The sequence below is a fragment of the Homo sapiens genome, chromosome 1 (assembly GCF_000001405.40).
Source record: "Homo sapiens chromosome 1, GRCh38.p14 Primary Assembly".
In the NCBI taxonomy this organism is placed as follows: Eukaryota; Metazoa; Chordata; class Mammalia; order Primates; family Hominidae; genus Homo; species Homo sapiens.
The window spans coordinates 147,575,084-147,598,147 of NC_000001.11; the positions used below are offsets into that span (position 1 = coordinate 147,575,084).

At 39.9% G+C, this 23,064-nt stretch overlaps 1 protein-coding gene across 1 annotated transcript in view, besides 1 other annotated feature; it reads left to right on the forward strand.

Annotated features, from left to right (window-relative positions):
* The window catches only part of BCL9 (BCL9 transcription coactivator), an 84,716-nt gene that overhangs the window by 33,583 nt on the left and 28,069 nt on the right, over positions 1–23,064 (forward strand). The window lies entirely within an intron of this gene.
* Positions 20,933–21,453: an enhancer, noted in NCBI's record as "H3K4me1 hESC enhancer chr1:147067805-147068328 (GRCh37/hg19 assembly coordinates)". NCBI's record gives its function as "activates a minimal SCP1, AML or CMV promoter by ChIP-STARR-seq in naive H9 embryonic stem cells {active_cell/tissue: H9 hESC(naive)}" and the evidence as "EXISTENCE:reporter gene assay evidence [ECO:0000049][PMID:30033119]".

Genomic DNA, 23,064 nt, shown 5'->3' on the forward strand with positions numbered 1-23,064 from the left:
TATGTGCTGGATGCTGTGCTAAATGCTTTCAATATCAAATTCATTAAAACTTCAAAAAGCCCTCTGAGGCAGCTATTACAGTCCCTGTTTTACAAATAAGGACCTGAAGATGAGGGAGTTGCTTCACCCAACTAAGTCTGTGTTACCCTTCAGGTCTTGCCTTGAGCATCACTCCTCTAGAAAGCTACTTCTGATCCCTAGACCATGTTGGTTTCCTGACACAGCTCCTTGTAATTTTCCTTCATACACTTTAATATAATTTCATTGTCTGCCTTTCCCACCAAACCATAAGCTCATTTTTGCCTTGTTCACTGCTTTTGCCCAGTGCCCAACACCAAGCTAAGTGCCAGCAATGTAGCAGGTGTTCGAGGAGTAAGAGCCAAATGAATTGTCAGAAGTTACCCAACTGACAGGTTGGATGATTTGAACCCAACTCTGTGTGATTCTGTAGTCCTGTGTTTTCCATTACATCATGCTTCCTTTTTTTTAATGTTAAAAACTCCAAAGTTTCTAGGTAGCAAAACTATAATAAACATGTATTTTGAGGAAGGATAGGGGAATAGAGATTTTCTTTCCTCTCATTTCAAAGTGCTGTTTAAAAATTTTGCAATACATGCCTTAACCATTCACTATATTTATCTACTTAATGCTTCAGCCTGATGTTATAATTTAGATTTTTGTGTGCATATTCAAATAATTGGTCATTGAATTTAATAAGCCCAAGAGAATTAGAGTAAACTAATGTGATGTATAAATGCAGGTAGAACTTATATGCATTTATACATCACTGGATTCTGCAATCTTTAAAAATGTACCTAACACTTTCAGAATCTGTATTTCAGTGATTCCCAGCTGTGGTTTTGGCACACCCTAAGAATCTCCAGTTATTTTGAATGATGACATAAAATTCTCAGTTTTTTTTTCAAATTAACTTTTTTGGATATTTAAAAGAAAACATGCCACATGATGCATTGCGGGGGAATAAGAAACAGGCTAGATCAGAATGGAGCCAATGCCTTTGACCCTTGGGAAATCATTGCTATTTAATCTTGGTCACTGCTGAAATATATTCAGGGATTAAGAACCTTAACAAGAATTTTTGTTTATTCTTTAAAAAAGTTTTAACATAATTATTAAAAATTAGTAGATGATACTTGCACAAAGTATAAAATTCACAAAAATGTCTAAGTGAAAAGGCCCCTTCCACCTTTCTCTCATCTCCCGGCCACTCTAGAGATAATCAGTTTTGCATATCTTTCTGGAATATTCTATGCATACGCAAATATATCATTTTAAAGGTATTATTTCTTGGTAAAACACCGGAGTGCACACTGACTCATAAAGGTCAATTCGTTCACTTTTCAGTTTAAGCAAAGATAAAAAGTTATAATGAGAAATTCACTACATAGAAACCAAAGGCACAAAGCTTTGAAGTCTATTTTCTTGTAAAACTATTACTAAACATTGTGGTGATATACTGTAATGAAATATGGTACTAATGAAGGAGAAATGCTGCTTGACTTATGACAATAATGGTATCCAGTGTGGGTCCTGAATCTTCCTGAGTTTTCTGTTCTGATTAACTCCTAGATGATGTTTCTGTGTGGCGATTTATCTCAATACCAGCAATAAAGAAGCCAAGCTGATAGGTTCCAGTCACTGTAGGGAACTTATGTGAGGAAACTTACTGCTGGTCTCTTGTCACTTTCTCACCCGCCTCCTCTGGTGACCTTAAGTTGCCTACAGTGTGCAAAATAATGTAAAGACGATACCTTTTATATCAACAGACATTTCTCTTTTGACTGTAATAGGTTTGCAGAATCTATCCGTTATCGTCAAAAGAGAAATGCCTGTTGATATAAAAGGTACCATCATTACGTTATTTTGTGTGGACAGGGCTTGATGAATCTTTGGATGATGATTTTAGTGCAAGAAAATTCACAAAGCTTCCTGCAGTTAGTACGCTATATTTTTTTTTATTGTTTCTGGCTTTTGAATAATCAGAAGTGATCGAACCAAGAAATTAAAATAATTGAATTGCATTTGGACAAGCCTACAGATAAACTGGGTTTAAGTAGTTGCAGCATGAGTATCTTACGATACCCAAGGAGTACACTAGCCAAGGTCCTCGTCAGCTTTTGATAGTTTATATTTAGAATTTATTGAGCCCTGCACATGCTCGGCTCTGGAGAAAACTTGGTGGCCTGTGAACTGATAGTCTTCAGTTATTTATCATCTCATTTTGCTTATCAAAGACTTGCCTACAGTCCCTGTGGCTTTTCTTTTCACCAAGGGCTTGCCTTGGATGGAGACAGACTCTCATGCTCTTCTCTTATGACTATGGAAGGCACTCATGTCTGAGTAGAGTGTGATTTTCTTCTGGAATGTGTCTTTGGCAAACAAAAGGACGAATGCCGTGGAATGTTCTGGAGGTATCATCTAAGACCACAGTAACCTTTAGTCTCTATTTTAAGTACTCTGTTCCATTGTGTTCACTTGTATTTTGTGTCTCAATTTTTGGCTTAGAAAATATAACCACTAGAGCTGGAACAAAGTGTCTCTAGAGTTGGGCCCAACTCTTTTTGCTTTCCTTAGTGGAAAGATAATTTTGTGTTTTGTTTTTCTGGACCTGGATCATTCCATTGTAATGATATGTTGGATCAATTGATTCCTAAGGCCCCTTCTGTCTTTGCCATTCTCCGAGTCTACCATCCAAGCTTTGGAGCAGTGCTTCTAAAGTTTTTCTACCAATGTGTGTGTGTGTGTGTGTGTGTGTGTGTGTGTGTGTATAAATGTCTTCATGATATCAAGCTCTGAATGAATGTGGCTATAATTGATATGACAAATGAAGACATTATGTCTGTAAAGACAAATTCCAATTAGTTTTGATATATGAGTTAATTGATTATTTCCCCTTTTATTCAGCTTAAATGTAGAAAACCTTCCCCTCTGAAACCTTAATACGATTTGAGTTTTCCCTCTCAAGGAATAGCTCTTCATGGGCCAGCTTCTATTTGCCATCACGGCATTTCCAAAAGTCTGCCTTTCTCCTGCTGGCGAATGACTGTGTGACTGACTTCAATTATTCCCCTTTCCCCATTAATTTAGTCAGTACTGCTTTCTTTTACAGCAGGAACCATGTGATACTCATCTTATTGGACTTCCTCCTCCCATGTCAAGTGTTTGCATATACAGGTTGAGCATCCCTAATCCAAAAATCCAAGATCCAAAAGTTTTTGAGCCCCAACATGAGGGAAAATTCCACACCTGACTTTCATGTGACAGGTCACAGTCAGAAAGCAGTTTATTCAGCATCCTCAAGGGAAAAATAAAATTACCTTGATGCTATGTGTATAAGGTGTATATGAAACATAAATGAATTTTGTATTTGGACTTGGATTTCACCTCCAAGATATCTCATCAGGTATATGCAAATATTTCAAAATGTGAAAAAAAATCTGAAACATTTCTGATCATAAGCATTTTGGAGAAGGGATACTCAATCTTCTACTAGGCATTCAGAAAATGGTTGTTGAATTAAACTGAATTTCTGACAATTTCCTACCCCTGGAATCCTTCAGACCTTCCTCCAAAGAAACTTTCTGGACTAACTCTATTCAAACTTTGCATTCCCTTAATTTGCATTTCATAACACTTCTGTGCACATGGTTTGTGTCATATTAACTTGTGTGGTTATTTGTTCTTGTTATTCCTTTTGAATTTTATGTGAAGTATAAGGGAAAGGTACCCAGACTTGGAGTCAGGAAATTTGGTTTTCTTTCTTTTTTTTTCTTTTTTTTGAGATAAAGTCTCACTCTGTTGCCCAGGCTGGAGTGCAATGGCACGATCTCGGCTCACTGCAACCTCTGCCTCCTGGGTTCAAGCGATTCTCCTGTCTCAGTCTCCCAAGCAGCTGGGATTACAGGCGCCTGCCACCACACCCAGTTAATTTTTGTACTTTTAGTAGAGACGGGGTTTTGCCATGTTGGCCAGGCTGGTCTCGAACTCCTGACCTCAAGTGATCCACCTGCCTTGGCCTCCCAGAGTGCTGGGATTAGAGTCGTGAGCCACCGCGCCCAGCTGAAACTTGGTTTTCATCTTTCCTAATATGCTAGTTGAGTGACCAAGGACAGTCCATTCAACTTCCATGGATTTCAAATTTTTTTATCCAAAAGATGGAAGGAGAGGTGAGGCAGAATGGATCAAATGATTCCTAGGATTCTTTCTAACCTTAGCATTTTGATTTTTGGCATATTCATTCCCTGACAAAATCACAAACTTCTCAAATGCAGAGAATTGCCTTTCTCTACTATATGGAATATATACACTGCTTGACACAGATGGTGCTTAATAAATGCTTCCTTAGAAAATGACTGCTGTTCTACCCCTGCTAGCAAGAAGTTAAACCTGAGGGTGCCCCTCTTATAGCCCATGTCCTAAAGGGGCTCTCAGACCCATGCTGGGAAATGCTATCCTGGACTTAGACATCAGAAACTGAGACTAGCACACTGTATTAGTCATGAATAGGGGCACACCTAACAGCTTTGCCTTTTTAAGTAAATGTGTTTATGGTTTGTGCTGCTTTCCTCAGTAAGATCATTTCCTTGCACGTAATGAGAGCTGTGTGTGATATGGTTGAAATCCTGTCCCTCGGCTGAGATGGAGAACTCACGTGATGCTGAGTGGGGCCCATTATCCCAACGGCACTCACAGGAATGCTAAGTCTGGCAAATATTAACTCGAACCACAGCAGCAGTTAGGAGGCAGCAAGCAGTCTACCCACCTTCCTGACTATCACTTTGGGTTTTTCTGATTTTTCTTTCCTTGGCTTGAGCATTGTGTTTATTCCCCCTTTCATTCATTCTTCCTCTTCTCTTAGAAAGCAAAAACAAGACATATTTCCTCCATTCATCTCTGACTGGAAACTCTGATGTTCTCATTCATTTCAGACAGAAGGCTTTCCCTCTTTTGCCTAAGCGATGTACAACATGTTTATTCATCCTCCCTGCCTCCATGCCATAGGTCTGGGCATTGGAAGAACTCTGGAGTCTTCCAAAGGTCTTGGGGAACAGACTCTCATTGCAGGCAGCTATGGATAGAATAGATGGATTGTGAAAGCCTCTCAAAACCAATCCTGTGTGCTAGAGAAGCTTTCCTTGGATGAAGAGAAGCATATGATATTTTCCCATGTGGCAGGGAAAGGAGTGACAGATGAGATGGAAGACACCTAACACACATCTGAATGTACGTAAAGAAAAGATTTATAACTAAAAGGGAGGAGTTGTGGTTTAGATTAAAACCACAAAGGAAGTGAAGGACGTTACCACTTTCCTCTTTGTGGGTAGAAGATTCTCCTTGGGCTCATCTAATGGGCTCTGTGAGACTGAGTCTTCCTATAGGAATATGTTTATCCCTCCTACCCTTCTAGAAAAGCATCGTGCACAGTGGTTTGTGGTCTTAAAGAGTTTAGACTTAATTTTGAAAGCATAAACATGCCATAAAGCACCTCCATTTCTAAATCCATTGTCCCAAACATGCTTCTCTTATTGTAAATAGAAAAGCGAAGAATTAAAGCTCTCTGGGAAATGAAGGAAAGGAAAAGCCCCTTTCCCAAGTTACCTAAGCAATTTCCCTACCTCACCTTAATTTTCCTTTGTTTTCCTGGTGGAGACCTTGTGCCTGTTTTGACTTAGCAAAGGAAATTATTAGTAGCTCCATTCCTCTAATAGCCACCATAATTGAGGACCTACTATGTGCTGGGTATTTTTCTTGTATTATCTCTGAACTTCCAAAACTTCTGAGAGATAGATTTTATTACTACCATTTTTAAAAGTGAAAAAAACTGGGGCTCAGAAAAAACCATTGCCCAACTATGACCTGAAGCCTTGCATCCAGGTGTGTTTGATGATAACACTGGTGCTCCTCCCTGCCTCTTCTTCAAATCTGGTTTTAGAAGTATTTTGGCCATCGGTGTCACAAACTTGGAAGTGGGTTTGAAACCTGGTTCTGCCTCTAATTACCAATGTGACCCTGGGCAAATTATTTGACCTCTCTAAAGTCTTATCTGGTATGTCTTGTCTGGTATGACAATTGCTTAGATAACACTGGGAAAAGGCTTCCTTATTGGCTTCTTCTTAGAATTAAATGAAGCAACAGATGTAAAGACATGGCATATCAACTAGCAAACAGTAAACTCCCAAAATGACAGCTATACGCTAATTGTGTGTAGGTCAGTTTCTAGACCAAACTGTGAAATAGCTGAACTCCGCTTAAGGGAACCCTCTGTTTTCTTAAATTCCTCATCCTCATTCCTGTCACTCTCAGCTTCTAGAAAAATGCATCAAGGTGTAAGTGGCTATGAACACTTGGAAGAGAGAAGTCATACTTCTTCGATAATAAAACAAAAGAAGCAAGTGCTAGCTGTAGAATTTCATCCTTCTAAAGTGTGAACCGAAGGTTGTTTTTTGGTCTTTTGTTTGGGGGAAGGTGGGTTGCTGTAGGGTAGGAAAAAGGAAACCCTGTGAGTCCCCAAGCCACACTGTGCACAGGACCTACGTCAGCTCTTTAATCTCATGCTTCTTTTTCTGGATACATTCAGTGTAGGGCCAGTTGTAGATTCCAGGTCTCAGCTGCTTTTGATCAGAACTTTTTTTTCTTCCTGTGGTGATCTTGCATGAATTTTAGACGCTGGCGACTTTCTATTGCCTGAGTCTGTTTTTCATTGCAGATATTTGTCAGGTTTTTACATCTAGGTTGCATTTTGAAAGCTTTTCTGCTTTTCTTCTCTGACTATTCTCTGTGAACTTCTGATTCTGGATTTTTTTCCAATTTATTTTAAACATAATATTTATACATTTTCCTGATTACAAAATTAATAACTATTCATTGTAGAGAACTAAAACAAAAGAAGAAAAGATTTTAATCACCCATAAACCCAGCATCCAGAGCACTTTTCACATTTTATTGCATTTTCTTCCATCCTTTCTCTACACATATGTTTCTGTCTATATAAATTGTATGTATGTATATGCTTTGCAAAATTGGGATAAGACCATGTATGCATTTTGTATCTTACTGTTTCATATAACTTTATATCATGAGCATTTCTTGCATGTGATAAAACGTTTCTGTGAAAGATTTATGTCTGCATAATATTTCATCATATGAATGTACCAAGGTTTATTTAACCATTCCTATTCTGCTCTATGTTTAGATGTTTCTTTGTATAAATTTCTGTCCAAGTTTCTCCATTTCCTTTTGCTTTGTAACTTATTCCTAGACAGGGAATTATTAAGGCAATTAGGGCAAAGAGTATGAACATTTAATTTTTTATTTAAAAATGTATTTATACTTGGTTATTTTAATACAGACACCCTGTGTATGGCCTTTTAAAAGCCTCTTGCTATTAGTGCCAAATTGATTTCCAGAAATGTTCTTCTAGTACAGGGTGGCAAACTAGGACCCGAGGGCCGAATCTGTCCTGTGGCTTGTTTTTGTACAGCCTATGAGCTAAGAATGGTTTTTACATGTTTAAATGCTTAGGGAAAAAATCAACAGAATAATAATACTGCATCACATGTGAAAATTATATGAAATTCACATTTCAGTGTCCATAAATAAAGTATTTCTGAAGCAAAACTATGCTCATTCATTTACATATTGTCTATGACTGCTTTCACCGTACAATGGCAGAGCTGAGTAGTTGCAATAGAGACTGTATGACCTGCAAATCCAAAAATATTTACAATCTGCCCTTTACAGAAATTGTTTACTGATCCCTGCTTTAGTATGTAATCCTACAAGCTGCATATGAGAGTGTTCATTTGACCACACACATACTAACACTGAACACTGGAATTTTTTAATTCTTTGTTAATTTGAGCAAGTCAACAAATATTTACCAAGTGTTTGCCACGTAACAGGCCCTCATGAAAAATACAATTAACTTAGCATTTCTTTGATTACTAGTTAGGATGAGTTTTTCCATAAGTTCATGTAAATTTTTTTGTATTCACATTCTGTGTATATGAAATATTACATTTCAACTCAGGCATTTACATTTTTCATACCCCTTTGTATGAGCTCTTTATATACTAAGAATATTAATGTCTTTTCAGTCATTTGTTGAAATCATAGTTGTTGGAAATATTTTGCTTTTATTAGACTGTTTGCCTTTTATTTATTTATTTATTTATGTATTTTTACTTTTTTTGAGATGGACTCTTGCTCTGTTCCCCAGGCTGGAGTGTATGGGTGCAATCTCGGCTTATTGCAACCTCCACCTCCCAGGTTCAAGTAATCCTCCCGCCTCAGCCTCCCAAGTAGCTGGGATTATAAGCATGCAACACCATGCCCAGCTAATTTTTGTATTTTTAGTAGAGACGGGGTTTCACCATGTTGGCCAGGCTGGTCTCGAACTCCTGGCCTCAGGTGATCTGTCTACCTTGGCCTCCCAAAGTGCTGGAATTACAGGCGTGAGCCACTATGCCCAGCCTAGATCGTTTGCCTTTTAATTTTATGATTTTTTTTTACATACAGAATTTTACATTTGTATGTAATCAAGTCTATTCAATTTTTAAAAATTTTTGGCCAGGCAAGGTGGCTCACACCTGTAATCCCAGCAGTTTGGGAGTCCGAGGTGGGCAGATCACCTGAGGTCAGGGGTGCGAGACCAGCCTGGTCAACATGGCAAAACCCCGTCTCTACTAAAAGTACAAAAATTAGCTGGGCATGGTGGCTGGCACTTGTAATCCCAGCTACTTAGGAGGCTGAAGCAGGAGAATTGCTTGAACCAGGGTGGTGGAGGTTGCAGTGAGCCAAGATTGCGCCACTGCCCTCCCTCCAGCCTGAATGACAAGAGCGAGACTCTGTCTCAAAAAAAAGAAAAATTTATTTTAAGAATATCTTTCCCTGTCCCCAAGTTCAGATAAATATTCACCTTTATTTTCTTTCATTTCTTTAATGGATTCATTTTTTTTTTTGAGATGGAGTTTCACTCTTGTTGCCCAGGCTGGAGTGCAATGGTGTGATCTCAGCTCACTGCAACCTCTGCTTCCCGGGTTCAAGTGATTCTCCTGCCTCAGCCTCCCAAGTAGCTGGGATTACAGGCGCACGCCACCACACCCAGCTAATTTTGTATTTTTAGTAGAGACGAGGTTTTGCCATGTTGGTCACACAGGTCTCCAACTCCTGACCTTAGGTGATCCGCCCTCCTGGACTTCCCAAAGTGCTGGGATTACAGGTGTGAGCCACCGCACCCAGCCGGATTCATTTTTATATTTGCCTCTTTCATCCCTCTGTAACTTTTTTTTCTTCAACTCTGGCCTACAGAACCTCTGGAATTATTTGTTTTATAGTATGAGATGAGGATCTTAAATTTTCTTCCAGACAGTAGAATTATTATTCCAATGTTATTTGTTGACTAATCTTTTTTTTAATCCACTTATCTGTGATGTCACCTTCATCAATTCCCAGTTATGTTCAATGGTGTATGTGTCTCTTGTTTTTGTTGCTGATTCCTTGTGGATGTCCACCTTATTGTTCCTGATTAGGCCTACACAGAATACAGACCCTGGCTGGATTTTCAGACTTATGTCTTGTGTGCGCCTCCCAGGTACTACTCCTTTGCAACTGTAAATTTCAGTAGCATCTTTCCTTCTTTTGGTCAATTTGTCAGGAATGCAGTAGAAGTTTAGCTCCTAAAGTACACAAATGGTAAGGAACCTTCCTACTAAACAAGAGATGAGGGCCAGGGCCGGCCCTTGCACATAGGTGAACCATGAACCGTGGTTCTCATTCATAACCACTCCAGGTGACAAAGGCTCTATTTGTAACCTCGGAGGTTGGAGGTTTTCTGGCCAAATAGCATCAACCGGCATAAAAAGAGCAAATCTCTGGAAGGGGCTCCCAGAAGAGCTGTTACATGATGCACAGCCCCTAACCTTCTGTTAATGGCTCACCCCAACCCAACCTTGGTTCATAGTGGAGTTATTTCATTTACCAGGTGTGAAAATTGGATTTTACCACAGAGGAGGGGAGTTATTACCTATCAGGTCTGCTCTTTAGGGGAGCGGAGATTGTGGTGGGATTTATTAAAAGAGATTTGCTATGCATGGAACATATAATTAGAGATGTGTTCCTTTAAAACTGGATTTATAATCTTTGTCATTTTAGAAATGCAGTTTTTTGCCTTCTGTTTTTCTGACAGCCTTCTTTTCCATGTAGGTTGCACACAACCTACCTAGGATCTGAATATTTTATATGGCACCATTCTGCCAAGAGACGGACCTCAGGGGTGTGACATGTGACAAAGAGTACAGCTTGGGGGGATTGTGGGGATTGCCTGTAGTATGGATGCTGATATTAGTCACACAAGATGCTAACGATGGGGAGGGGATGATAAAGTAATTTTCATGTTAATTAATTGCTATGTAGTCCAGGCCTCGGTTTCATGGAGGTATTAGGGTCATTCTGAGACCCTCTGATGAGAGTACTCTTGAAAATCGAGTTCAGATTTAATTACCTGTTGTTAGAGGCTATATAAGACAACCTCAAAGTTAGTACCGGTTAACTACACCTGCTTTTAAAAAAGACACCTTGTTTATTATTATGGTGAACTGGGGGTGGCTGAATTTATTATTGTTTAGCATTTCTAGCACACTTTGTTCTTGCTGAGTGCTTTAAGCGTTTTTATGTATTTATATTGGTTGCTCTTCGCAGCACTCCCAAGGGATGAGTGGGTGATAAGTTTTATTATCACCTGCTTTTCCAAGGAGGAAACAGAAGCTCCTAAGAGGAGAAGGGACTTGCCTGGGTTTATAGCTCAGAGCTCCTGCCACTTTGTTAGGGGATCCTCAACAAAATGGTGATAAATTCAGCCCTTGCTCTGCCTGCTCTCAGCCCACGAGTACCACCTGTGCTCCATCCTGTATCCCACTAACTACAGTGGGATGCAAAATAAAAATCATCACTATTATTGGCCTCTCTGTGCTTGGCACTTTATCTCTCAACTGATCACCTTCCTAAACTCACCTTATTAACTCTGCTTTTCTTTTAAAAGCTCTGCCGTTTTCCCCACAGCCCAGCTTAGCTCCCTAAAGTCATGTGTGACTCAGCCTTTCCACCCACTTCAGTTGCCCAGGGAGCCATGTAGATTCTGCCACCCAAATGTCTTACATCTGTCCCTTCCCTATTCTTCCCCCTCCCACTACCAAAATTCAGTCCTCATTACCCCCTACCTGGACTACTGTAATAGCCGTTTAACTGGGTCCCCACACTTTCCATCCTAAGTTCTTCTGTCTGGTAAACCTTCCTGAAGTAAGGCTCTGATAAATACCACTCTCCCACTGGGTCCGTTCTCAGGAGCCTTCCCATTTAAGTGCAGATTCTTATCCTGCACTCAGAGGTCACCTTCCTTTTTGGCCTTCTCGCCTACTAAGCCACTGAACAACTTTACTGCGCATCAAGAGCTTGGCTAGCAGGCGCCTGCCGTGAGCAATTCTGATTTGGCGGGTCTGCTCCGGGGCCAGGGGACCCGCCCTTAATAGGCCTCCATGTGATCCCAGTGCTCGGGACCCTATGGACCACACACTGCTCTCGCAGGCTTTTCCCAAGCCCGTAGTCTTCAGCCCCTGTGCCCGGCTATGCTGTTCTTTTACCCTGAAACGCTCTCAGCCCCCTCTCCACCTGTAGAAATTTTTCTCATGCTTTAAGGCCCAGCTCAAATATCTCCTTCGTGAAGCATTTTCTGATTGTTCCAAATGGATAAGATGCAAACTCCTTAGCCTTAAATTTAAGATGCTCTGTTTTACAATTCCAGGCCCATCTCCTGCCTTCCTGCCTGGTTCCTCCGCTATCCCTAAGCCCACCACACCGAAATGGTTCTCAGCATAGGCCCTTTACACATACCTCCTCCAGGAATGTGGTTCGTTTTCTCTCTCTTTCTCTCTCTCTCTATATATGTATATACATATCTCCTCTCTCCCCACCCAACCCCGTCTCTCCTAAACTTACCCTGCTAGACCCGGCTCATATGTCACTTACTCCGTGCCACATTCATCACAACGACAGTCTTTCTAGACTCTTCCCCGCCCCCATAGCCGCTAAGTCACTCCCTCCCCTGTGCTTCTCCAGACTTTATACGCCCGAGAGAACCCAACGACAGTAGCTTACTTGTGGTTTATCTGTTTAATTTGAACACTAGGCAGTGAACTTGGCTCAGGCTGTGTTCTGAGGACCTAGCCCGGAGTCCACAGGCAGTCAGTCCTTCTAGAATGCACGCATGAATGAATCTCTTGCTTCCCAGCCGCCCCTCCCCCGGAACAGGCTTTGCTCTTTGCACCTCTGCCGTTGCATTTCTCTTCCTGTCTTTTTTGTACTTGTTTTACTCACCGTACTAGATTGCAAGCCCCCTTGAGGGGAGAAACCTCGTGGGATTTTGCTCCCTATTCCCAAGTCTGGCTCCTTAACCATGGCAGGAGGTCAATAAACGTTTGTTTAATTGAGTTGTAGGATGTTGTGCCCAGCTAGCTGCTAAACAACCTCATTTAAGGGGTTAACTAATAACACTCAGAGAAGTTCTTCTCCTTAGGGGGCATTTGCATTTTAATGGGAATCTTAAAAACCCAAAGGAAATGTTCTCTAATGGTGGGATTTCAGGCCTTGTAGTGAGGCCTGTGTGTGTGTGTGTGTGTGTGTGTGTGTGTGTGTGTGTGGTGTTTGATGGGGATTAGGGAAGAGTTCCTCCAGCCCAGGGGTATTTCAACTTTTCTGTGTCATGGGCCCCCATGAGCAGTCTCGTGAAGCCTATGAACAGAATAATGATTTAAGACACATAAAATAAATTACGTAGGTTTACAAAAATAGGTTATAATGAAATATAATGATCTAAATATTAAAAACGTCAAGTTTGTGATATAGTAATATGTGCTTCTTTATTAGAACGTTAATTAAAAAGTCTACTGGCAGGTCTTATAATTATTGTAATGTCATAGTGATGACTATAAGCGGTATTTGGGATATCTGTGATTCTGCTGGTTAAAAAGTCATGAGCTGCTCATACCACCTTGATCTGTTGCCTGGATCCATAATTGAAGGAAATGATAATTTTCAACTAGAAGTTAGTGGAAGCAAAGATGTATTTTTTTTCTGCATCCAAGTTCTAGCCCTAGTTTCCGTTGCGGACCCAGGGTTAAGAGGCCTGACTTGGCTGAACCCTCAATATGATGTGGGTGGTCTTGAAGCCAGTGCCATTTTGGATCCTAGGCTTCCTTTCCTACTCTCCACTACTTTGACCTTAAACTCTCAGATTCTTATTTTTTACCCTTTATTTAACAAAAAACGACAGTATACACTTACTTCATTTACAGAAATATGAAATAAGGTGAAACAAAAAGGATTGTTTGGGTTCTCCCTCCATCAGCCAAGGCATCAAGATGTCAGACTATGGGAGAAAGAGAGGCTCGCTAGTTTCCTAGCCTGGGAGCACCCCCTCCCAGAAGTGCTATCCATGGGGCGGGGTGGGGCGAGGCCAGGAGGAAGAGGAGGATTTGTCCCAAATTCAGAGGTGGGAAAGCAGTTGCAGAATTTACCTGAGAGTCTCTGCTGGCTCTTTCTAAATTCAGAAGTCAATATTGGGACCAAAGAGCGTGATTCTAGGGGTGGTCCAGCATCATATCCATCTTGGTAGTTAGTGACTAAGTGAAATATTGCTTTTGAGACCCTGCACTCCCTAATGCTGATGTGATTTCTAATTTAGGTTAAAGTGTTTGTGCAGTTCTCTTTTTAAACCCAAAATACAGGGAACATATTCAATCCTTTCCCAGTTATCTTTGTGTATTTTAGTCATTTAGAGGCAATTTTCCTCCAGGCAGATTTACCCTACTGTTTGCCATGCCTTGGGGCTTATACCTCTGCTCTCAGTGGATGCATGCTTGGAGGATATCAGTGAATTTTAATATTAGCTGGACATGTTGTTACCAGGGTGAGCACCATATTAGCCCAGGCAAACCATCATCCCTGTCCCTAATGGTAGTGACACTGAAAGCTTTACCCTTGACATCTTCCTTTTCTCTTGCATATGTTTTCCTTTGGTGAGCTCATTCATTTTCCTGGCTTCAGCTCTCACCTCTGCACCTCCAGCCTGTCCTCTCACCTGGCAAGACATCTCCGTTTTGGTGTTCAGTCACCCATAATTCTAAAACTCGACCTCTTTTGTCTTCTACAAATCAGCTTCACTTTTCCAAAACACAGCTTTATTGAGGTATAATTTACAAACCATAAAATTTACCCATTTTAAGTGTATGATCTATTGATTTCTTGTAAATTGACAGTGTTGTGCAACCAACACTAAAATCCACTTTTAAAACATTTACTTTACCCCAAAAAGATCCCTATACTATTTGCAGTCGATCCCCATTCCCACCCCAACTAATCTGCTTTCTGTCTCTATAGATTTACGTTTTCAGGACATTTCATGTAAATGAAATCATGCAATATGTAGTCTTTTGCATCTGGCTTCTTTCAGGCTTCTTCTGCTTAGCAAAGGGGTTTTGAGGTACATCCATGTTGTAGTGTGTGTTAGCAGTTCATTTCCTATTGCTGAATAATATTTCATTGTAGGGATAGACCACGTTTTATTTAACCATTCTTCAGTTGATGGACATTCAGATTGATTCCACTTTTTGGCTATTAGGAATAATACTGCTATGAACATTCACATACAATTCTTTGTGTAGACATACATTTTTATTTCTCTTAGATAGACACCTAGAAGTAGAAGTTCTGAGTCACATGGTAAACTTACATTGAACTTTTTAACAAACTGCTAAACTGTTTTTGAAGGTGACTACAGCATTTTACATTCCCACCAGCAATGCATGAAAGTGTTAGTTTCTCTCCATTCTCACCAACACTTGCCATTGTCTTTCTTTTTTATTATAGGCATTCCTAGCTGATGTGTAGTGGTAGCTCACTGTAGACCAGTGTCATTTTTTATTTTATTTTTATAGAAACGAGGTGTTGCCATCTTGCCCAAGCTGGTCTCTAACTCCTGGGCTCAAGCCATCCTCTTGCCTCAGCCTCCCAAAGTGCTAAGATTACCAGAATGAGCCACCAGCACATCCTGCCTAGTGTCATTTTTGAATTCATCTCACTTCTGACCACACTGCCCCTGCTTTCCACCAATTTTATGGCTAGAAACCAAACTTACACTATTCTTCCTTCCTCTTACATTTATATGCTGCGGAAGTAAGCTGCTACAATCTTCTTCAGCTAGCACCTGAATTTCCTACTTCTTCATTTACCTTTACATTGCCCTACCTGGATCTGCATCATTTCACACCTGAATTTCTGCCGTTTTCTGGCTTCTCTCCTGGCTTCTTCTCTCTTCTCTCTTCTTCTGCCTGTTGTAGCTCTTTCTTCAAATCTTCCTTCCTGTAGCTGCAGACTGATGGTTAAAATAGTAACATGAAAAGAGCATGCGTGGATATGGAATTGGAGGATCTGTGTTCTAGTTCAGGAATCACCACTCATCATCACATGACCTTGAACTAGTCTTGTAACTTACCTGAACCCAGCTCCTTTATTAAGTTACTTAACCTCTCTGAGCCCCAGTTTCCTCATATGCAAATTAAGGATAATTGTAGAACCTTTCTTATAGAGTTGTTACATAATACATGCAAAGCCCTTAGCACAGTGCATGGATGTATGAAGAGCACTCAATCAGTGCTGGCGAATGTTGTTATTTTAATGATTATTATGCCCATTATTATTAATCGTTATGATGGGAGCTATCTACTACGCCTATCATATGGTTGTCATAAGGATCAAGTGTGGCTGTGAATATAAAAGAATACTTTGAAAAATACCATGCAAATTGCACTGATGTTATTTTTACATGTTTTTTTCCCTTGCATAAGGAGAAAGGCAGTGCAGGATAGCAGCAAGAATACAGGCTTTGCCATTAGCCTAGCATTCAAATCTGGACTGTGCTTTTTAACTGTTGAGAGGCTTGAACAAGTCATTTACCCTCTCCATTTGGGTTTTCTCATCTGTAAAATGGGTATAATTATAAATCACATTCAGGATAATGCTGTCAGGATGGTGCCTATTCCATAGGCAGTATTCTGTAAACTGTAGCTTTTTAAAAAAAATAACTCAGTGTATTCTTCTTATATACTTTATCTAAATTATATTCTTCATAATTAATTCCCACCTTATTTATCTATCTGTATTCCCCACTGATCCCAACACATACATTGAAGAGAGGCTATAATGTGGAAAGATTAAACATTTTCACCTCAGGCTGACTTTGGCTTTAATCTCAGCTCCACCACTCTCTAGACACATGACTCAGCACAGTTACCTTACCTTGTTAAGTATCTGGCTCCTCAACTGCAAAACAGTTGAGGGAGAGCAATTCATACCTCATGGGGTTATTGCGTATATAAATAAGATCATACAAAGTCCTTAGAATAGTGCTTGGCACATGCACATACTAAATACTCAATAAACAGCGACTGCCATTATGTTTGTTTCTAATAACCTTTACCACTATCATTTTCTGATTCACTGCCCACACATATGCTGTGCTCCTTTCAGTCTCTGGCTTGGCTCCTTGTCTCTCCCTCCTGGCCATCCTCCCCTCCTGGAACTGCCCAAATCCTATTCTTCAAGCCAGTTTGGCTTCTGATCCTTCACAAAATTATCACACACTAGTCCAGATTCTAATCATTGCTTCCCGTCCTGCCCTCCCACTCCCCAGAAATCTATGGTTTGTGCGGTGTCTGTAATTCTGTTTAGAAATTAATTATTAAACATCTTCTGTTGTAGTTGTTTCCTCAACTGGACTGTAAGGTTCTGGAGGAGGGGTATTTATCCAGCTTCTAATGAAGCTCTCACTCTGCTTAGTTTGGCACTAGACACATAGTAGGTGCTTACTAATGCTTGACTGATAAACTATAACTAAGAAAGCAAACATGTAAAAGTCACTATGAGATTTTACAAACAGGGGTTCCTTAACCACCTGGATAGTGTCCTCAATGACTGTGAATCAAGAGTGATCCTGAGCAGTGTTATTCCAAAACACTAGCACAGAGTAGAGAAAAGAGCAGTTGATACAGAACCCCCAAATCAAGGTCAGCACTGTTTAAGTTAGCAAAGCCTGTCTTTACTGGCACAGATGACCTTGTTTTTGTTTTCCTCACCACTTCTTGGCATCTCTCGCCAATCTCAACCACTTTTTGCAATCCCAGAGGACTTGCTGCCCTCAGAAAGCCCTCTGAGTATCTTTCCTTCTATCTTGAATTTCTGGGGAGAGTTCTCCAAGCTTCAAAATTAGCCTTTTCTTTCTTCCCCTCAATATTCCCTCAGTGCAGTTAGCAGTTAAGGAGGATAGAGGTCTGGCCAGATAACTTATTAAAATGAAACAAGGCTAACCTTTTATTATGTTATCCACCCCCAAGGGCTGGGGGAAGTGACATCTTAAATCCAAAGTATGAACTTCTAATGGCAGAATTTAAAAGAGTGTGTCAGGAGAGTTGAAGAGATATCAGTAAGTGATGTTGGGTGTGAGAATGAGTAAGGTATTGAGGGGATAGCCTTTCAGTGTCCCTAAAATCTCCCCACAGGCCAATTCCATTTTGGAAAATCCAGAGATGACCAAATGCAATAATAAGAACCAACATTTATCGGGCACTTAACTATGTGCTAGGCACTATTCCTACATGTCTACAGTCATTCATTTATTCCCACACTACTCTGGGAGACAAATACCTATTACCAGTACTCCACTTTATGGGGGAAAAAAAAACCTAGAGAGGTTAGGTAATTTTTCCAAGGTTATATAGCCTGCTCATGGCAGAGGTAAGATTCAAAATCAGGTGGTTTCCACCCTGAAGTGGGTTTTTGAATCACGCGTCTCCCCTTGTAAGCATTCTGGAAAAACAGAGGAACAAACTTCATGAGAAACAAACCTAGATATTATCATTATTACCATCACCATCATCATCACAGCAAGCAAGGTGCTGTCCCTGTTGTGTGCAGGGCACTGCACGAGGTGCTGAGAAGACAAAGAGGCATCCAGCCCCACTGCATGCCTGAATCCTGACCCTCAGATTGCCTCAAGTGCTTCCACCTCCATGAAGTAGTTTCTGCTCATGTCTTCTCCCTCAAATAATGTATCTCCTATGATTGCTGATTTACTTTTTGCTTCTGCTCTGCCATTTATTTATTTATTGCCTTCTATCTTGCATTGTGGTTAATTATATACATTGTCACACATCTGAGCCTTTGCACATTGCTGAGTCCTTTGCCTGGCTGACTCCTACGCATTCTTTAAGATTCCACTCAGGTCTTATTGCATACTCTGACTCTCCTGCCTGAACTAGATACCTCTCTTCTGTACGCCCAAAACACTTGGTATTTATTCATATTATGCCACTTATTATAAGTGATTATAAGTGTTTGCTTGTCAATATTTTTAACAAGCTAGATCACTGATCCCAACATCAGGGGAGTTAAGTTATACTTTTTTGAATCTTCAGTACTTTGCACAATACTTAGCACATGGTAGGCACTTAGTAAACTCTTTTTTTTCTTATTAATGAATGAGCCCTCCATACAAATTTGATTATACTTTGAAAACAGAATTGAATGTTGGATTCATTTTTTGTATCCCCCAAGCCCTGTACTTAGTAGTTGCTCAATAAATATTGCAATGAATAAGTAATTGAAAAACAAAAGATATGTGAGATTCTGCTCTTGGGATATGGGGGAAGACTGGGACCTAGAGTAAAATTTGCCTATCTAGGCTATATTTTTAAGTTGATTATAAAAACATCTACCACTAAAATAGATGAAAAAGAAAACATTGTTTTTGACCAAAATTACTTGGCTACAAAAATATAGTTTAATATCTAAACCCAGGTCCATATGACTCTAAAACCAATATTGTTTCTGTTATACAATACTGTTGAGATCTTAAGGTAGATAGAGGGGCCCTCATTGGGCTCAGCAGAACCAGTAGGGCTTAAATAATTAGAAAGGAATAGACAATTCACGAATTATGTAAAAAATGGTGGTATACATAAACCACTTTTTAAAGAAAGATCTATCTGGCAAGAGCATGTAGAATTGACTGACGAGGGGAGAGGCTGGAGGCAGGAATATCTATTGCAACGGTCCCATCTTGGAAACAGAAAACAAGAAATTGATTTAAGGAGGAATTTGTGGACACTGGTGATGAGAGGAGACAAAGACAGAAGATGTTGAGCCAGGATTACCACAGAGTTTTAAGCCTAAGTGAAAGATATAGGGAATTCAGAAGTGAGACTTAATCTTGACAGATGGTGAGTTTGCTTTTTGATATGTTAAGTCACTTTAGATGAGCAAGCTGAGTAGATAGAAATGCAGGATTAAGTTCAAGAGAGGCCTGAGCTAGACTTGTAGATGTGCTGGTCATAGTTAAAGTTCTTTAAACTTCAAAGAGATGATAGCTAAAGTTAGGAGAGTGAAATGACTTAGGGAAAATTGGAGAGAGACAAGATCAAGAACAAACAACTTTAAAGAACAACAATTAAGAGACAATGGGAAGAATTTAAATCAATAAAGAAGGCAAAACTGTATCATCACATCTTGGAATTAACAACTAAAAAGAGATTCAGGGAGGAAAGGATATTCATTATGTGAATTTGGCAATTAGGTTTGGCCATATTGGACAGAGCATTTTGGTAGAATGGTTGGGTTAATTACAGAGGAGGAAACACAATAGTTGTGGCAGAGAATGTAGGTTGCCCTTTGGATAAATTGGGAATAAAAAGAAAGGGGGAAAAAGGGTACTAATGTAAGAAAAATGTTACTGAAGTTTCTAAAGCAAAGAGTAAGAAGCCAATGGATGGGAGAAGAGTGAGCAGCGTCCTTCAGAGGTGAGATGAGATGACAAGGTTGGTCTTGCAGTGTAGAAGAAGTGTGGATAGAATTTGGAGTAATTGCTGTGGAAAATGATAGCGGCAACAATGAGGATACATAAAAGGATTACAAAGTGGTAAGTAAAGATATTCAGCATCATCACCTTAATTTTGGTTGGGATCCATTTTATTGGCTTCATGTTTTTTCTAGCAAGGTCTGGTTGACCAGATGTGGAAACAAGGAAGTGAAGGTACATCTTAGCATTAGAAATTTCCGTGGCCAGAATGGTGGATGGTCAAGGATTCTATGGAGACAAAGTGGCCAGTGGGTGCAACCTGAATGCAAACCACAAAGGTGAAATCAAGGCTGAAATAGTTGGGTAGTAATTCTAGAGAAACTGGGAAGAGATTGATTGTGTGAGCTGGGAAGAGTCCAGTAGCACAGGCTGAAATCAGGAAAAACAAAATAGGTCATCTGGAGGGCAAAATTCCTAGGGAAATATCTAGGAGAATGAAACAAAATGAAGTAGTAGAAACATCCGGAATTATTGTTGGGAAAGCAGTTATGAATAAGAAATGAGTCTGGGTTCACTGGTTTATGCCTATAATACTAACCCTTTGGTAGGCCAAGGTAGGAGGATTGCTTGAGGCTAGGAATTTGAGACCAGCCTGGGCAACATAGTGAGACTATCTCTACAAAAAATAAATAAATAAATAAATAATAAATTAGTGGAAATTGAGGAAGAAAAGGAAAGTGGGATTCTAAGAATGGATGTGAAGAACTGGTATGAAGGTCAAGAGATTTGGAGATAAATGGTTAAAGCATGTGGAACACGTAGATTGTCCCTTGGTAAGGCATGATGGACAATGGTTAAATTGGAAAAGTGGGGAAGGATCAGGATCATTATGTCAATCATTTAGGACTCAGGAAATGAGAATGTCACAAAACTTGAATTTTAGAAGGTAGAGTAATGAGAGTAGGAGGCACAACCATAAAGGTTTGAGCATGAAAACAAAGGGGAAGCATTGGTGGTGCCTTCTTATGGGATCTGAGTGTCACTTCAAAGCTTCTTAAGAATGGTGACTCTGATTCTCAAGTTGTGAAGAGCAGGTATGTGGTGACACAGAACAAGACTCAAGCTCTCATCGAATGCCAAGGGCCTCAGGTGAAGCTGCAGGAGGAAAGGAGGTGGGAAAATTGATTTCCACCTAACGAAGGAGACAATTAGTTTTAAATTTTCCAGCCAGGGATGAAGCTCTGGGACTCCCCCATTGACTTCAATAGACTGGTGAAAGGTAGGATAAGGAGATTTGTTTCTTTTGCCTGGAAAACCTAAAAAGAAATAATTTCCTGGCTATGTTATTACAGCATTGGGGCACAGCACTATGAAAGTCAAGAGATTAGATTGACTTTCTTTTTTTTCTTTTCTTTTTTTTTTTTTTTGAGACGGAGTCTCGCTCTGTCGCCCAGGCTGGAGTGCAGTGGAGCGATCTAGGCTCACTGCAAGCTCCGCCTCCCGGGTTCACGCCATTCTCCTGCCTCAGGCTCCCGGGTAGCTGGGACTACAGGCGCCGGCCACCACACCCTGCTAATTTTTTGTATTTTTAGTAGAGACGGGGTTTCACCGTGTTAGCCAGGATGGTCTCAATCTCCTGACCTCGTGATCCGCCCGCCTCGGCCTCCCAGAGTGCTGGGATTCCAGGCGTGAGCCACCGCGCCTGGCCGAGATTAGACTGACTTTCTAATGGTTAGATGCTATTCCATTCTAACCCATCATTTTCAATTATTAATGACTCTCTTGGTAGTATTCTTTTGGAGCTGAAATTCACCAGTTTTGGTGAACAATGAGGTAGATGAATCGGTAATAAATATTAATAGTACAAGCAGCAGGAGCCCATGGACAAGCTGAGGGCTTTGACCAAGGCAAGAATTTGTTAAGCCCTCTTATAACCCTGATACTAGCTGGCTGAGTGGGCTCAACCTTTGTTAGTCTTGGTTTCATCATTTCTGAGGAAGACTTTCATATTCTCTCCTACAATAATAAATATTGTTAGGAATGAACAATCATTGGAATTTAGAATACTGCTGTGGAGTCTTGGACTCAAATTCTAGTCCCTAAAACTGAGCATAATCTTGGCAAATCATTGAACTTCTATGCCTTAGCATTCTGTAAGACAGAATGGAATTCCTTCCAATCCTAAAATTTAGGTTTAAGTTTATCAAGAACGGAGGAAACAAAAGCACTTGTTGCCTCAACTTGAAAGTGGAGTTTACAGGTGGAAAAACTGGAGGCAAACCTAACATAAATGCTATGATTAGCTAAAGAACTAAGAAGTCAAACTTACATCATCTATGTTTGCAACACAGTGAGTGCTCATCATTATGAGAAGCAAATTTCAGTAAGTGAGAAAATCAAAACCAAGTCTCTTTAGCATCAAAATCCTTTATTTTTAGCAATTTTACCATTTGGGTAAAAAAATGATTTCTTATCTTAAAATTTCTAGAGTAGCAGTACCAGTTTGAAGCTCTTATTCATAGGATGCTTTTAAAAAAGCATTTCATTATCCATTAATGTTTATGTATATACAGTGTGTTAAATCCTTATACACCAAAATAGAATTCTTTCTCAAGTGAGATGAAAATGCATACAAGGTAGAAAATTCAGAGGGCAAAAATTCTAGTAAAATAACCTATTTAATAGAATAAATCCTAGTTTAAAACACATTTCTATCCCATGTGCAATGTAGCTAAATTACCATTTCTATGGAACCTCTAACCTTTAGATTTCATGACTTTTTAGCGTGCTTAAATTCTCAATAGTATTATTCTTTTACCCTAGTGTCGTATGTTTAATATTCATTTGCATTTTTCTTCTGATTCAATAATAATTTTGAACTTTGACACATAATGGCTGCATGAGGGCTTAACGCTTAGTAAAATGGCTAAGACTTTCTTTTAACATGTGTATTATTGTTTTAATGAGTTTGTTTTGAGCTTGCTGAGCAGAGGTGATCTGGTCTGGGATTCCCCCCAGGCCAGAGCTTATTTTGGCAGTGGTTTTCTCTTATAGACAAGTTCTGTGAGTTCCTTCTTTCCACCTACATTAGCAATCCCAAATGTTTCTTGCATATTGCTGATTTGGTTGTCTTTTCTAATACC